Consider the following 18,746-nt stretch of genomic DNA (forward strand, 5'->3'; position numbering starts at 1 on the left):
CTAGATGTCTGGGGGTAAGAGACTAGAGGAAAGAGAATTTTATATTTCATTTTTACCTTTATTTAATTTTTTGATTTTCTTACTGGGTGCATGAATTATATTTTTATGTCAGCATGTTTTATCAGATAAATAAAATTATGAGCTATTTCTGTTTTCTCTCATTTGTTTTATGTTTAAGTAAAGGAAAATGAGATATGTCTTTTTAAATTAGATAATCTTGAGTCCATGATTATTATGAAAGCCCTCTGTTATCTTTTTCCTTCCTTTCACAATGACTATTTATGTTGTAGAATCATTAATTTCTCAAGACAAATGTCTTAGAAGGTAGATACAAAAAATGGTATACATTTTTTGATTCAAGCTAATTTCATGTTATGAACAAAATTATGTAATGTCATTTCTAAGACCTTTCTGTGATCTATCAATCCACTAGGTTAAAGAGCAGAAATCACTTCCAAAACAAATCCTTTTGCAGTCAGCAAAATGAAGCAACTATATGAATAAGTTTTTCCACTTGGCCTATTTTTCTACCCATGGTTATTAATCAGTCTCACTGACTACATTTTCCGTTTTACATCCCCTTTCAGGCACTACTGCAGATGGCCAAGCATATCACATTATGTAAATAAAATAAAACAAAATCTTTTCCCATTGAGCAAATGGATATACTTCACCTCTAATGCTTCCAGTCTTTCTCAGATCATTCAAAAAGCATGATATGGTTTCCATAAAAGGACATTCATCCCATTTGACTAACTGGAATTTCTTTACTCCAGCTAATCTTTACCAAAGAGCTGAATTAATTCAAGTTGACACCCTGTTATCTACCAGCTCTTCCAGCCCTTTTGCTTGATTGTTTTGTCATTTTGCCTTTTCTTTTCTTCTAAAGTGGGAGTATGGAGATTTACCCTTCTGAAACAGCTGTGTCACATCATGATCCTTGAGGATATCAGCTCTTAACTGGCTGCACATCAAAATCACTGTTTCCTTTGACCAATACTCTAGACACACTCAAGCAGAGATTCTGGATTCTGATTTAATTGACACAGAGTAGGGCCTGGGCATTTTTACAGCTCCCCACATGATTCTATTGTGCCTCATCTATCCTAGCCCTTAAGCAGGACCAAACATTTGTTCTATCTTAATTATTATTCTCTTAAACTTAGTCCAATTCCTTACAACTGATAGCTTTCTATATACTCATCTGCCTTGAGTGATGACAATTGATATGGTTTGGCTGTGTCCACACCCAATCTCATCTTGTAGCTCCCATAATTCCCACATGTTGTGGGAGGGGCCCAGTGGGAGATAACTGAATCATGAGGATGGGTCTTTCCTGTGCTGTTCTTGTGTTAGTGAGTAAGTCTCATGAGATCTGATCATTTTTAAAATGGGAGTTTCCCTGCACAAGCTGTCTCTTTGCCTGCTGCCATCCATGTAAGATGTGACTTGCTCCTCTTTGTCCTCCACCATGATTGTGAGGCCTCCCCACCCATGTGGAACTGTAAGTCCATTAAACCTCTTTCTTTTGTAAATTGCCCGGTCTCAGGTATGTCTTTATCAGCAGCATGAAAACAGATGAATACAACAATACTGTAACAAATCTACTCACATCTGTTCTCTTTATAGGAATTGCAGTGCTACAATATTAGTGGCTCTTAATTCTAAGAGTGTTAAAAAATATTAATGCTTGTCTCACCCCTAAAGTCTAGGGTGTGACCTGAGTATTAGGTTATTTAAAACTTTTCTCAGGTAATAGACATGTGCAGCCAAGGTTGAGAGCCACTCTATAGGGCCAAGATATGTAAGAAAATTCAAGTCCTTTAGCTGGGCATGGTGGCACGCAGCTGTAGCCCCAGGTACTCTGGAAGCTGAGGTGGGAGGATTGCTTGAGCCCAGGAGAGAGAGGCTGCATTAAGCTATGATCACATCACTGCACTCTAGCCTGGGTGACAAAGTGAGATCATGTCAAAAAAAAAAAAAAAAAAGAAAGAAAGGAGAAAGAAAGGAAGAAGAGGAAGGAAGGAAGGAAGGAAGGAAAAGAAGACAGAAAGAAGAAAGAAAGAAAGGAACAAAGAAAGAAAGAAAGAAGAGAAAAAGAGAGAGAGGAAGAAAGAAAGAGAGAAAGAAAGAAAAGAAAAAGGAAGGAAGGAAAGGAAGAAAGAAAAAGAGAGAAAGAAGAAAGAAAAGGAAAGAAAGAAAGAAAGAAAGAGAGAAAGAAGGAAAAGAAAGAAAATTCAAGTCCTGCCTTGTAAAATGCAGTACTCCATTTTCCCAAAGAGATCCCAAGGGAAACTTAACTACAGGATAAAGACAGACAAAAGGACATAAATTACAACTACTCTAGGTTCACATATTATTTTGTTTCTGAAATGGGTTTTAAAATATCTATGTCAGAGTTCATTTCTAGAACTTTATCTCTAGAAAACATATTTTCACTTCTCAATACAGGAAAATGGAGATTGGAAAAATGAGGTTGGAAAATGATTTCCATGCTTATCTCTCAGCTTCTTTTTTCAACTTCCCTTTTTTCATCTCCGTATCTTCACTGATACCTAGGAATCTCTGTTACATCACAGTCTTCAAGAGCTTTGCTCACAGCGAATTAGTTAAGACATTAGCTTTCAAAAGTATATGATATTCTCTCACAAGCATTTGTCTACTTTTAATAGGGCAAGCTATGTAAAGATGTTAAATCTCATTCCAGAAATACCACATCTACTCTACCTATTTATGAGAACAGTCGTCTCTAGACCAAGATAGAAATTCATAGTTAGGAAATAAATCCCTGTAGGGTTTTTCCACAGTCCCAACATGTCCCCTACTGTCCCGATTTTAGCAACAAAAATCCCCCATCCAGAAAATCCTTCATTCCTGAGTAAGTTGAAAGATTGGTCACCCTATTTCTATCTGTGTCTCTTTCTTTCATAATTGGCTCATAATCATAGCAGTCACAATTTTGAAAAATTTTATTTTACTGAATTACTCATTGCTGTTTTCTCATTTTTTAAATAATAAACACTTATTAAGAAACATTGGAAATATACCGAAAATAGTAAACAATAAAACAGAAACCATTGGCAGAAATCGTCACTATTAAAATCTTAATATACTCCCTTCCAATGTTGTTTCTGTTAATGCAAATTGAAAAATCAGAGATTCGCCTCTGTGAACTAGATCTCTTTTTACCTTTAGATATTATTTGACAAATACATAGCTCAATCATCTATCCAAACTTCTCTTTTACAGACTCCATGCCAATTAACCTTCTCCTATGAAACTATTATTTCTTCACATAGGATAAATATGGTTATTGACACACAAACTTTCTTAGTTACACTGCAATCCAGTTGTGCGTCCCTAAATTTATACCAATTGGATTTAGAATGATCATTACTAAAGAGGCTTGGCCTTATCTCTTGCAATTTGCTTCTTCCTTCTTAAATTCAATTCTTGTAATGTAACTATAATTTGGGGGTATCTTTTTGCCTCATATTCAAGTTCTCTTTCAAACTGAGGTACATTTCTGTATTTCTGTATTTGTATATTGCATATAATAGTATAGAAAACAATAATGAGATTATAGTGTACATAAAAGTTTTGAAGTATAATTAAATATTTAATATATAAATATATTAAATATGGGCTGCTGACTCACCAAGCCTGGTTTGGCTTCCATCACTTGTGTAATCAATCACCTGTATTAAATCACCTCTGCTTGAAAGACGAAGAATAGTTTCTGATTTATAAGCAAACACTGAAAGCTCTTCTATTTCTTGTTTGCTAAACAAGATTTGTCAAAGTTAAATATTTTATTTTATTGAATTCACTTTTTGCCTCTCCTACAATGATGATTTGCTTTTCCTCCTTTAACTTGTTAATGTGATGAATTATACATAGTTTTTTTTTCTATTGTTAGAAATCCTTGCATTCATGGAACAAACACAATTTTCATACTATATTATCTTTTTTATAGACTTCTAAACTTAATTTGCTAACTTTTAATTTAAAATGTTTGCCGTTAGGTTCATGAGGAAAGTTGGCATGTAATTTTCCTGTCTTACACATTTCTCATATAATATTGGTATCAAGGTTGTACTGGCCTCATGAAATGAACGAACAAATGGACCTTTTTTTATTCTGGAGTTGTTTTTATAAAATGGAAATAATCCATTTCTTGAAAACATTTGATAGAACTCACCAGTAAAAATGTCTGGGCCTGCTGGTTCTCTTCTTCTAAGAAGAATTTGGAACTTATAATTAAAGCTCCTTTAATGTGTTAGAAAACTTTCCAGGTTTCCTTGAACATTAATAAATTCCAATGACGAAAAGCCCTCAGATATTAAATATAACCTTAAATATAACCTTCCCCCGATTCAATTTTTCTTTTGCAGATATGATTAGATACTCTAATTTTTCAACCTCTATTTCACATATCCATTTTCCTTTCCTCCTCTGTACTGTCTTCAGCATAATTTGTTTAGTCTAACTTCCAACTCACTTATTTTCTTTTTGGTTCTATCCAATATTGTGTTTAACCTGTCCATTTAGTTTTTAATTTTCATTATATTTTTTATTTCTAAAAGATCTCTTAAATTCAGTTTCAATCTGCTTAATATAAGATACATACACTGTCTCAATTTATATTCCTGGCACACCTCATTGATTTTTTAAACATATTAAACACAGCTTTTATAGTTATATAATCATCCTAATATCTGAAATCTTTATGGGCATAATTCTGTTTCTGCTCATGATGTTTATTTCCTCATGAGTTTTGTAAGAGTCTTACTTTTTTCTCATTTTGGATGAAATTTTACCTGTGGCCATTCTTTGAGACATGGGCTGAATGTGGGTTTCTCCAAAGACACTTTGCCTTCGTCTTGTGTTTGGTGGTAATACCAACATGGGATAACTATAAAATAAATTATCAGTTTCATGTGTGGGTTTTTTTTAACTTATACTTACAGTGAAAATTTAAACCACAAATTCATGTGAAGATGGCCTTCTCATTTTTCCTCTAAATGGCACCGAGTTTGAGGCAGGAAAATTTCCTGGTTGTCTCCCGCTGAGGAACAGGTTTTTATCTAGTTTATCCTTTCACTGAAATTATAGTCCTTCGTATCTCTGGCTTTCAGCAGTTTTCTCCTGTAAGACTGCTATAATGGGCAGGCACTAGGTTTTGTCTCACACTCTCCCATATCCCAGGTGGTCATAAAAATTGAAGCTCAGGGTACTAGGGCCAGGACTGTCCTTATGGAAGCTTCTGGTTTGGGGGTCTGCATACCTCTCTGGATTTATGTATTCTCCTTATGCTTGGCCTATGTGGTTCACCTTAGTTTCTATTCAAGTCAGTAATATACTTTTGAAAAATGACATGTACATTTTATCTGGTATTTGTAGATTTCATATAGCAGGATAGTGATTCAGCAAATTTAGTCTACCACAATGCTGGGAATAGAATTCCCCTAATTTTTGAAAACATTATATCAAATCATGTTTATTGCCATTAATAGTCTTATAAATGTGCTTTTAAGTAACTGCATTTTGTCATAGCTCATTGTGATTGTATATTTAACTAGTTCACCCCTACCTCATGTTTTTTGGGAGTGAAGGTTGTACTCAACTCATTATGTTAAGTAATACTACAGTAAACATCAATCTATACATGCATTAATAATGATTTCCAAGAAAGTAGTGACACATGGTCATAATCATCTTTGAGGCTGATGGTACATATTTTCAAATTGCATCTCAGAAATAATATACCAATCTGTGCTCTAATCAGCCGCATATGAAAGTGTCATCTTTCTGTTCTCCAACCAATACAACTACTACTGTTTTTATACCTACAAATCTGACAAAGATGGGAGAAGGGATCTTATAGTTTCAATTTGTATTTCTTTGGTGACCAATGTACTAAATTACTCAATGTACTAAATTACTCTTTTCCTGTTTATCATCCATTTCAAACAAAATGTAAACCATTTTTTAAATTTTTTTATATTAATGCAAATTGTAAATCACTACTTTATTTATTCAACTTCCTAAGCAAAATTATATGTTGTCCCATTTATACATTTTATATTAGATCATTCTGCCTTACATTTATATCCTAAAACTGTCAGAATTATATAATAATGATGAACAGTTGATTATAAATAATGTCTTTATTAGGATATTTCACCATAAATCTAAATTTCATCAATCTTTCTTTAAATATCTCTACACAATGTCCTCTTGTATTATATTAATAATTGCAGATACACTTCTTTTTGCTATTTCTATTAATTCTTTCCTATTCCTATTGTATGTTAGTCTCCCATTTTCTCCCATAAAATAAATAAAAATTTTTCTATCAGATTCTGTGATATATTACTTCTTATTCCCAGCCTTCAACATTTTAAGAATTCAGATTGACCTTTTCTCCCATTCTTATTTCAAGTTATCAGCATGTCGATACTTGGGAAATCTCATCAAGTGTTTAACAGTGCATACCTTACTGATTCATTATTTATTTCAATTTAATCTTTCTTATTTTCATTCAACTTTTTTCTCAGTAATACAACTTTTTCAAGCTTTTTATTTTCTAATGCATTTCTCCAAATAGCAGCCATAACCCTTATATGCCCTCTTTCAATGACAACAACAAAAGTGTGCTAGGCTTCTTGGAAGAAAATAATGATACCAATTTAAGAAGGAGAAAATTGATGTACTGATAAACAAATGGGCATCTTAGGATCATGTTTCTCACAAGTAAGGCAGTTCCAGAAATTCCTAGGACCATAATGGGTTTTATTCTAAATAGGTTAAACATATCACTTAAAAAATTGTTTTCTACAGTTCTCTAATATTGCTTACAATTGTCCACGTTTCCATGTTTATAAACTTGCACTTTTTTTTTTTTTTATGGAGTTTTGCTGTTGTTGCCCAGGCTGGAGCCCAGGCTGGAGTGTAGTGGCGTGATCTTGGCTCACTGCAACCTCCACCTCCCAGGTTCAAGCAATTCTTCTGCCTCAGCCTTCTGAGTAGCTGGGATTACAGGTGCGTGCCACCACACCTGGCTAATTTTTTGTATTTTTAGTAGAGACGGGGTTTCACCATGTTGGCCAGGCTGGTCTCGAACTCCTGACCTCAGGTGATCCACCCGCCTTGGCCTCCCAAAGTGCTGGGATTACAGGCATGAGCCACTGCTCCCGGCCTTATACTTGCACACTTTTTAATTCTAAGACCTTGCTACTCAGTGAGGGATCCTGGGACTAATACCATCAGCTTGACTTGAGGCCGTTTGAAGGCAGACTCAGAATCTGCAATTTATCAGGATCCCCAGGTAATTTGTATGTGCAGTCTAGTTTGGTAGATCTGCTCTGGCAGACTGGAAGACTCTTCTATCTGCCTCACGTAAGGTGCAGGTGACATAATTAGGTAATCAAGCAAAAGATCACATATTTTAATAAGAAAGAGACACTGGCTATTATTTTGAGTGGCAAAACAGGTTATTCAGTCCCAGTTTAAAATGGAAATGACAGAGACCAAGATGAAGATTTTTAATTTGAGATGTGCCTGCGATGCAATTACATTTGCTGAATGAAACTGCTTCAGTAATTAGATGCAGGTTTCTTCTCTCTTCTTTTTGAGATGTAAAGAAGACACAATAGACTCATGGAACTTAAAGAACTAGACGCCAGCTAACAAAACATGCTATCCAGACTCTTCTGTTTCACCATATTGCTTTCTTGAAAACATAGGACAGTGCCAGTTTAGCACTGAAAAAAATCAGTTCTCCTAATTCTAAAAAGAGGAGACAGCCAGGCGTGGTGGGTCACTAAAAATACAAAAAATTAGCGGGCATGGTGGTGCATGCCTGTAATCCCAGCTACTTGGGAGGCTGAGGCAAAAGAATCACTTAAACCTGGGAGGTGAAGGTTGCAGTGTGCTGAGATAGCGCCATTGCACTCTCGCCTGGGCAACAAGAGCGAAACTCCGTCTCAAGAAAAAAAAAAAAAGAGAGAGAGAGAGAGAAACTGTAATTTCATTTCAGAAGTTTTATAGGGTACTATTTCCAATTCTTTTTTTCTTACTCCATTAAAGTGTAATTAGCAGTATGTGAAAATTTCCACTTTATCCTCAATCAGAAGCCTCTCCTTCCAATTAGCATATATTTTTTCTATTAACTTTGTAAAGTGGGATTCTTGTTTTATACATACCCCTGGAAAGTATACTTAAACTGTGAGACCCTGGGATTTTATATTTCCAAATAGAAGATACCATCCTCTTGTATCACAAAATGTACCTAAGATGGTTTGGATTATATTTAAATATTCTTGAATGAAATAGACTTACTGACTGAAGCCAATTATTATATTTTTCCACACCAAAATAAATGCAATAGGAAAAGATGACAGTTCTATGTAGTATTCCTGCTTCCATATTGCACAAATTAGAAACATACATATTCCATTATGTTACAGGGTCTAGGGCTTTGGGAGGACAAGGCTGCAGGCAGCCGAGATTGTGCCGCTGCACTCCAGCCTGGGCGACAGAGTGAGACCTTTTCTCAATAATAATAATAAAAGTAAAAAGAAATATAATATTTAATCAATATATGCACACACATGGGTTTATCATGACACACATGACATGTGTGTACAGTGAAAAAAATGAGTAAATCTAGAAACCTGTATTGCCTCAATAGCTAGCTAAGTACTTCAATATGCATGTTTATTTCAACAATTTTGTGTTAAGCTTCAGTGGTAAATAAGCAGAGTACACTGACCATAATGAATACTTCTTTTGATGAGGGTTATCACTACACAATTAAAATATTACATAGTTGGCTGGGCACGTTGGCTCACACCTATAATCCCAGCACTTTGGGAGGCCGAGGCAGGCAGATCACCTGAGGATGGGAGTTCAATACCAGCCTGACTAACATGGAGAAACCCCTTCTCTATTAAAAATACAAAATTAACCAGGCGTGGTGGCACATGCCTGTAATCCCAGCTACTCAGGACGCTGAGGCAGGAGAATCACTTGAACCTGGGAGGCAGAGGTTGTGGTGAGCCGAGATAGCGCCATTGCACTCCAGCCTGGGCAACAAAAGCAAAACTCCGTCTCAAAAAAATATATAATAATATATATATATATATATTATATAATCAATATAAATATAATATATAATAAATATATAATATGTATTATACATATAATAAATATATATATTATATATAATAAATATATCATATAGATGATATAGTTTAGAGTTAAATACTGACTGCTCTTGGGAACTTTGAGGTATTCTGAGGGATATAAATAACACGAAGAGAATAGCACATTGGCTTGAAGCAGATTAGAGTCTGCTACCTGCGTGAATACTTGCTTTTCATGAACTATGAGGATGCCCTTAGCTTTTGAACCACTTCTACTTGTGTTGAAATTTACCCTTTAATTTTGGGGTTTGACAGGCTCTGCCCTTCTGTTATGCTTGAGTCTGGCTTTTCCTACTCTGACTCACTTTGATTCTTGACCTCTGAATCTTATTCCTGTTTTACAATAAACACACATCGCACATACGCCAATTAGTAGAGTGGAAGAGGGAAAAATTGCCAAGGAACTATGTTTAATTTTGTTCCTTTCGCAAACCAGACACCATAACAGAAAAATTTTAGGAACATGTGCATGTTCAGTAGCCTTCAATGCAATTATACTGGTTATTAAAAAGTGTTGGATAATCAATATTTTTTAAAGATTCACTAGTCCCTTCTGATAATTTTAGAACTTTGGGAAGTAATAATACAAATGTATTTTTAGCTGTGTCCTTTAATCTTTTACTGTTTCCTCTATGTGTGGTGTTTGGTTTGTGTGTGTGTGATAATTATTATAAAGATCAGAGGCTAACAGAGGTGTTAATCACGAACTTTTACATTTTTTTATTTTTATTTTTTTATTTTTTTTAAGAGACAGAGTCTCGCGGTGTTGCCAAGGCTGGATGCAGTGGCGCCAACTCAGCTCACTGCAACCTCCGCCTTCAGGGTTCAAGCGATTCTGCTGCCTCAGCCTCCCAAGTAGCTGGGACTGCAGGAGGGCACCACGATGCCCCACTAATTTTTGTATTTTTAGTAGAGATGGGGTTTCACCATATTGGCCAGACTGGTCTTGAACTCCTGACCTCATGATCCGCCCACCTCAGCTTCCCTAAGTGCTGGGATTACAGGCGTGAGCCACCGCGTCTGGCTGCATGACCTTTTAACTTGTCTCATACACTCAATATTCTCAAGATATACCTTCCAAAGTGAAAAATTATGGCACTTTGCAGCCCTGACCACTAACTGAGAACTTTGATGCTTTGGATTTTGGAGACCTCATTTTATCACCTGGTCCTTTTACTTCATGACTTGTCATGCTGCCACCTTTTGATGGGATTGAGATCAAGATAATAATTCCCAACTGGTCAGGAATATTGTGCCCCTTTGTTTTTATATCCAGATGCAATAGAGCCTCTGACACACCACTACTATTGTTCTTAGGATTTGGAACAAAATGCTTCTTTCTTTGACAAAATAAATGTTTTCTTTAAAGAACTCTTGATTGATCCTGGACCATTGTAGAAACTGAAGTCCTATCAATGCAAAAAAATATGACAACATGAGCTGCTTATCATGAAATAAGTGTTTTCCAATTAACTATCCTGCTTCATCAGCAGGTAGGAATAATAGAATCTATACCTATGTCTTCATGGGAAGTTCTCTATGGCCAGTTGATTAGTGAGGGAAAAATTGAGCCTGATTTACAGAAGTCACTGTACAACATCACAGCAGCAGCCAAAAGTAGATTGCTTAGGCATTATAACCTACGTGAATGCAATTTTAAAAGAAATTCAGCCTATGTAATTGGTTGTCCACGATGTCTAGGAGAGATATTATTGATGTATATGTGGCAGCTAATAATTTGTCTAGATAATTAAGGACTTGGGGCCAGGCCTGATGGCTCACACCTGTAATCCCAGAACTTTTGGAGGACAGGACAGGTGGATTGTCTGAGGTCAGGAGTTCGAAACCAGCCTGGCTGACATGGTGAAACTCCGTCTCTACTAAAAATACAAAAATTAGCCAGATGTGGTGGTGTGTGCCTGCAATCCTAGCTACTTGGGAGGCTGAGGCAGGAGAATCTCTTGAATCCAGGAGGAAGAAGTTGCAGTGAACCAAGATTGCACCACTGCACTCCAGCCTGGGCAACAAAGCGAAACTCTGTCTCAAAAAAAAAAAAAAAAGAAAAGAAAAGAAAAGATAATTAGGGACTCGGAAAGACAAAGACTGAAGGATTGGTGGCAATGAGTTTTGGGGAAAAAATATGTAGATGAACCACAGAAAATGAGCCAGAGTGTAAGAATATTTGTGCTTAATACGAATGCTCACCAAACTATCATCAGGAAGGTTATCAAATAGATATGAAGGTATGAAACAATCTCTTTCACCAGGCACTACATTGCTTGCTCAGAAGGCTAATAAACAGCAACATTGGTGGTAGCAGTAGAGAATACACATAGGTTTAGCAACATGTTGGACTTTACCACTCTCGCTTACAAAAGCCTATTTAGCTGTCAAGACTATTAGGTGTCCAACACACAAGCAACAAAGTCCAAGGCTAAGCACACAATAACATATCCTGGGTGAATAAATCAGTCACCTTTTGTCAGACTTGTTGATTTTATTGGAGCTCCTCTATGATAAAGGCAACAAGGAATTTTGTAAATGGAATCTACCTTCATCCTTGAATTACATTTGCTTTACCTGACATCATTTTTCTCTGATCGCCACTCTCCACGGGTACATTGAATGCCTTATATATACTGCCATAATATCCTGTTCTACATCCTTCTATTAAAAGAACTTGTTGTATAACAAATGAGTAGATATTCATTGGACTCACCTGGTCCACCATTTATCCTATCACTAACCAAAATTATTATTATTATAGAATGGTGAATATTTTATTAAAGACTCAATCACAGTGCCAGCTGGAGACAATGGCTTATAAGATTGTACTCATGCTAGAGGATGTGGTGGTGTATCCTCTGAACTAGTAACTAAGTATAAGCTTGTCTGGTGTCTCCCATATAAAAAATACAACAATCTTTGATATTTGTTATGAATGTTGAAGTGACTCCTTTTGTCATTACATCTAATGATCCACTCCAAATACTTGTCTCTTGTCTCTGAGATTCTAGGTTTTTGCAGAATTAGTACCCAAAGGGAGAGTCTTAGCAGTATTCCATTTTACAATCCATCCTTCGTTAGAGGATGAGAGACTTCTATCTAGCCTTTTAGGTTGCCTGAGACCTTTAAACAAACAGTCAAAAATTTAAAATTTAAAATGCGGCTACACTGTTGCATGGGGTAGTAAATCTTGACCTTAAAACTGGTATTTGTAAGAAAAACAGAAAGAATTCAGGGATCCCCTTTGATGGCTCCTAATTCTATACAGTCCTGTAAATATTCCTGAAGACTAACCAGGCGTGGTGGTGCACACCTGTAATCCCAGCTACTCCAGAGGCTGAGGAAGAGAATCACTTGAACCTGGGAGGCGGAGGTTGCAATGAGCTGAGATTGTACCACTTCACTCCAGCCTGGGTGACAGAGCAAAACTCTGTCTCCAAAAAAAAAAAAAAGAAGAAGAAAGAAAGAAAGAAAGAAAGAAAGAAAGAAAGAAAGAAAGAAAGAAAGAAAGAAAGAAAAGAAAGAAAGAAAGAAAGAAAGAAAGAAAGAAAGAAAGAAAGAAAGAAAGAAAGAAAGAAAGAAATGAAGACTGCCAAAGCTTGGAAGCAACCAAGATGTCCTTCAATAAGTGACTGCATAAGCAAACTGTGGTATATTCCTACAGTGGAATATTATTCAGTGCTAAAAGGAAAAAACTATCAAGCCACAAAAAGATACAGAAAAAACAAAGACATTTTGCTAAGTGAAAGAAGCCAGTCTGAAAAGGGTACATACTGTGATTTCAACTATACGACATTCTGGAAAAGGCCAAACTATAAAGACAGTAAAAAGATCAGTGGTTATCTTTGCAGACGCCACCATCGCTGTGAGCCCTGTACTATCAGCCATGGTCAACTCCGTCGTCTTTTTTGACATCACCGTCGACGGCAAGCCCTTGGGCCGCATCTCCATCAAACTGTTTGCAGACAAGATTCCAAAGACAGCAGAAAACTTTCGTGCTCTGAGCACTGGAGAGAAAGGATTTCGTTATAAGGGTTCCTGCTTTCACAGAATTATTCCAGGGTTTATGTGTCAGGGTGGTGACTTCACACGCCCTAATGGCACCGGTGACAAGTCCATCTATGGGGAGAAATTTGATGATGAGAACCTCATCCGAAAGCATACAGGTTCTGGCATCTTGTCCATGGCAAATGCTGGACCCAACACAAATGGTTCCCAGTTTTTCATCTGCACTGCCAAGACTGAGTGGTTGGATGGCAAGCATGTGGCCTTTGGCAAGGTGAAAGAACGTGTGAATATTGTGGAAGCCATGGAGCACTTTGGGTACAGGAATAGCAAGACCAGCAAGAAGATCACCATTGCTGACTGTGGACAATTCTAATGAGTTTGACTTGTGTTTTATTTTCACCACCAGACCCATTCCTTCTGTAGCTCAGGAGAGCACCCCTCCACCACATTTGCTTGCAATATCCTAGAATCTCTGTGCTCTTGCTGCAGTTCCCTTTGGGTTCCATGTTTTCCTTGTTCCCTTCCATGCCTAGCTGGATTGCAGAGTTGAGTTAAGTTTATGATTATGAAATAAAAACTAAGTAACAACAACAACAACAAAAAAGCTCAGTGGTTGCCAGGAGTTTGGGGATGGGTAGGGAGATAAATAGTTCTGAAACAGGCGATTTTTAGGGGATTGAAAATACGTTGGTAATAATGTAATGATGGGTACATGACATTATGCGTTTTGCAAAACTCCTAGACCTGTACCACACAAAGAGTGAACCCTAATGTAAACTGGGGGTGGGATAAAGGTGACAGTATGTGAGAACTCTGTACTTTCTGCTCGATCTTTCCATAAAGCTAAAACTGCTCAAAAAATAAAGTCTATTATTTTGTTAAATGAAAGAAATTAACAATGACCATGGCACGCTCACACAAAAAGATTACCAAGGACATTTCTCTGTCAGGAATGAATATTTGGTCATCTCACAAGGCAAAACCCTGACTAGCAGAGGTGTTAGCTGAGGGCACATGGCCATAGATGCCAATAGTGACCTGCTGGCCACTTGCAGAAAGGAGAGCCTTGACATCCAAACACATTGTTTCTCTTGTATTGTCCTGTGCATACTTATGTATCTTAACAACTTTCCTTCCTTCCTCTCCATTTATCCCTCTTTTTAAAACAGGGCTTATTGAGGGTGATTAACTTAATTTTTAAATGATATATGGCAGAATGTCAAGAGAGTATAGTGAAGAACTTCGTAGAGGAATGGACATAACCCAGAATTCTTAGACTTAGAGTACATGCTGTGATTGAGAATTTTTTATTGTTTCATTGTTCAAGAGATTGTAGGTACATGTTCAATTATTAGAGAAATAGTTGCACTCTGTTAGAAGGAAGCTTGGGTCTTTCGTGTTTACTTTCAAAAGGGAAAGTTTATATTGATATTGAGCAAGTTAAAGCATGAATATTTATTATTTGATGTTTGTTTCTGTGTTTGAGGAATTCCTCAGCCTCTCAGTTTTGATGAAAACAAGAAACCACCTCCTGCTTTAGAAGCTAAAATGCCAAATGCTTGCTTTCTCAGCCTCCTTTGCAGCTAGGGTACAAGCATATGACTTAGGTTTTGCCAATCTGTTTGCCAGTGCTGAATTTCGACTTCGGAATTAATAAAAAAAGAAGCAGATTCAGTTATGCTTTCTCTTGTTTCTGGTGGAGGCCATGTAGCAGCTGCTACAATATCTGTTGCAAAGCAAACAAGTGGGAGTGGTGCTGGTGGCTTTGCAGTTAGCCTAGGATTGAGCAATTGCTGCAATTGTTGCTCTCTGCATCTTTGGTGTTACTTCTTACTGGTGGTGACAGTGGTTTCCTCCCTGGATGAGTTCTACAGCATGGTTTGGGGTACATTTCCTGGCTGCCTAGCTTTGATCTGGCTCTCTAGCCTTCTCAACAGTTCTACAAGTTCCCCACTATTTCTGTGATAAACCTATTTATTGTTAATGTCAGCCATAATTGGCTTCTGTGGTTTATATTTTTTAAAATTCCAAGATATACCAGCGTAACAGATAGCTCAACAAACATATGTCTTTTTAAATTAAGATATATTCTGTGTCACATGAAGTACAATGGACAAAATGCAACAAATTGAATTGAGCTAAAGACCAAATATATATTAAGCCTGGCTGGTCTTAAAAATGTAACTGGATACAGCCAGGCATGGTGGCTCACGCCTATAATCCCAGCACTTTGGGATCCTGAGGTGGGCAGATCACCTGAAGTCAGGAGTTTGAGACCAGCCTGGCCAGCATGGTGAAACCCCATCTCTACTAAAAATGCAAAAATTAGCTGGGTGTGGTGGTATGCCCCTGTAATCCCAGCTACTGGGGAGGTTGAGGCAGGAGAATCACTTGAACCTGGGAGGCAGAGGTTGCAGTGAGCCGAGATCATGCCAATGCACTCCAGCTTTGGCAACAGAGTGAGACTTTGTTTCAAAATAAAAAAATAAAAATAAAAAAATAAAAATGTAACTGGATAGACCTAAGGTTCTTGAATAAGCAGAAAATAATTTAGGTAAAAACCAAATAATAAACTAACATTCTGAAAGGTTTAGGATTTGGAGGCCCAAATGTCTTAGCTAAAAGTGTTCATTCTAACCTCACAGGAAAATTGAAATATGAAAATATACAGAAAAATCTTAGGCAGTATATGTCAATTTTAAGAAACAACTATTTACAGGTTTTTCAACAGGCATTACATTAAAAATGAAATATGTAGTTAATAAATATGAAAACTGTGGATATAATCAACACATTTATTTTACTTCTTGAAGTGTTAACATGTGCTGTCTCAAATATCAACAGTGTACACGTGAGAAAAAACATTTTACATAGATTTTCTGCGACAGAAAACAGCATCTCATTAGACATCCCAAGTTTTTTCATTTGGAACACACACCCATTCCCCAGTATACTAGGGGTAATAATAATTTAAAGAGTTTAATTACTTTTTACTACTAGAAAACTAATTTTATGTTTGGCACAAATTTCTGAAATGATATTCCACTGCAAAGAATAATACCTATATATGGCCAGAATTACTTTTTTTCTATAACATTAAGATAATACTTGTCAGCCTGAGCAACAAAGTGAGACCTCATCTTTACAAAAAATAAATAAATTAGATGGGTGTTTTGGTGATGAGGGTCTGTAGTCCCAGATACTCAAGAGGCTGAGGTGGGAGGATCCCTTGAGCCTAGGAGGTTGCGGTTGCAGTGAACTATGATTGCACCACTGCACTCCAGCCTGGGTAACAGAGCAAGATCCTGTCTCAAAAAAAAAAAAAAAAAAGATAATATTGGTATAATTCAGGGTTTTTGCCTCAATCCCCATGCTTCTTCATTTGACCTTCCCTGACTCCCTGATGAATTTTAGTTTGAATTTTTGCTATAGTCCAGAAGTTAATTTAAAAGATCTTAAAATTTCCACCTGCCTAGATATTACTTATTTGTTACACTTTAGTCCATGATTTCTATTGTCATTTACATTACCCCAAAAATATGACCTGCTGAATTTCTGCTGTCATGAATTGACTAACATATTTTGGGCCTAATACCTTCACATTTAGAATGTTTTTGTTTTGTATTGGAAAATATTGTAAGTCCTCCATTTATTGGTCAAAAGCACTGCCTATTTATTTCCATGCTTAATCAGAGAGACTTTCTAATAGTTATTTAATATTATTTACGTTCATTCACTTGTTGACTATAATGACGTTAGTTGCTATGATATTTTTAGGTCATTAATATAATAAAAATATGTCAACTTTTCTCTTCCAATGTGTCTTTGGGTTATTAATTTTTAACTCAGGTATCAAGCTTGTAAAATGTTTAATGGCTTATAATAATGTCTAACACATAGTATCCACTGAGTTCTGATAACTCCGGTTTATCAAATTCTCTTTTTTTGTACCATTCTCCAAATGCAATGCTATTTGGTTTTATTTTTATTTTTTAAAAATGTGCTGCCTGTTTTGAGTCTCTAAAAGTGTGAAATGCTCAGCATTTCCCAAATGTATTTGAACATGGAGTGTTATATTTACTAAAAAGTTAACAAGCAAGTATTCCCCTAAACACTCTAGCAAATACTACTAGTACAGACAAATTATGATGTAACATTATAGTACATTTTAACTTATTAGGTTAATTTTGGTTGCAAACAATCAAAATTCAAAATGGCTTGTATAATAAAGAGATTTTGAACAATAGTATAGGCTCAAGATAGTTTAATGCAGAAGTTTAATAATGACACAAAATAAATGCTTCTTGTCCTCCCTGTTTCTTCACTCTACCTTAAGTGATATAGATTGAATGTTTGTAGTCCCCCAAAATTTGTATGTTTAAATCTAATCCCTAGTGTGATGATATTTGGCAGTGGGTCTTCGGGGGGTGATTAGGTCATGAGGACAGAGCCCTCATGAATGGGATTAGTGCCCTTATAAAAGAGACCTTAGAGAACTTCCTAGCCCCTTCCACCATGTGAGGACACAGCAAAAAGACAGCTGTCTGTGAACCAGGAAACAAATCCTCATTAGACCCTGAATCTGTTGACACCTTGATCTTGGACTTCCTGGCCTCTAGAACTGTAAGAAATAAATTTATGTTGTTCATAAACCATCCAGGCTGTGATATTCTGGTATAGCGACCTGAAAGGACTAAGACATTAGGTCTCAGTTTTATTCTATGGCTTAAAATATCATGTCATGAGTAGACAACTTCCAATCCTAGTACCTCGTGCTTCCTCTGCTGCATTTGGAAAGAAGGCATTTACCCCTTCAATCATGGAATGAAAAAGTTGTACTTCATTCTGATTTGATTAGCAGAAGGCACAGGTTCCTTCATGCACCAATTACAATGACCAAGAATTGGGCATGGGACTCATGTCACTTAAACATTGTGAAGCTGAGAAATTCATTATTTGGTTAGGAGTGTGTGAGAGCAGGGAACACTGAATGCTTGAGACACCACCACGATGTCCACTACATGTATTTCCATTTCAGTAAACATTTCCATTAAGATAATGCTAGAACAAAATCAGAGGAGTAGATCTTGGTGTCCCCAACTTTTGTTGACCTAACAAAGTGAAGTTGCTTCAACTGGACACTTCTGAACCACATTTATGCCTATATGTTCAGTTCAAATTTATTATAAGCAATTTTCAGGTCCATATGTTTAGGATATTTCATTTGTTTGGTTATGCATTATATGTATACATGTTTTTAACATACATACGCCTCTACATATATTTTGGAGGCCTTTACACAAAAGTGTTTTCCCTAAAGGGAGAAGAGAAAAGTTGAATGCAGAAGTAGAAAAAAAGATTCATTTGCACTTGTAGTATTTATAGCTAAATATTTTATATTACAGATGTATTAAAATTTTTATAATTTTAAACACTACTTTAAAACAGGGAGATGGTTTACCTTCAAAAAATTTGGCTCTCAACTCAAAGTTATCAAAGTATATCCTAGATGTAGTTTGCTTG

General features: G+C 36.3%; 1 protein-coding gene and 1 long non-coding RNA gene across 2 annotated transcripts in view; both read left to right on the plus strand.

Annotated features, from left to right (window-relative positions):
* The window catches only part of LOC124904410 (uncharacterized), a 41,997-nt gene that overhangs the window by 6,178 nt on the left and 17,073 nt on the right, over positions 1-18,746 (plus strand). The gene's annotated exons all lie outside the window — the stretch shown is intronic.
* PPIAL4C (peptidylprolyl isomerase A like 4C) lies at positions 13,052-13,811 on the plus strand. The gene has a single exon (NM_001135789.5). The coding sequence runs from the start codon at positions 13,102-13,104 to the stop codon at positions 13,594-13,596; it is 495 nt and encodes a 164-aa protein (NP_001129261.2). The 5' UTR covers positions 13,052-13,101; the 3' UTR covers positions 13,597-13,811.

This window comes from Homo sapiens, chromosome 1, assembly GCF_000001405.40.
Source record: "Homo sapiens chromosome 1, GRCh38.p14 Primary Assembly".
NCBI classification, from domain to species: domain Eukaryota; kingdom Metazoa; phylum Chordata; class Mammalia; order Primates; family Hominidae; genus Homo; species Homo sapiens.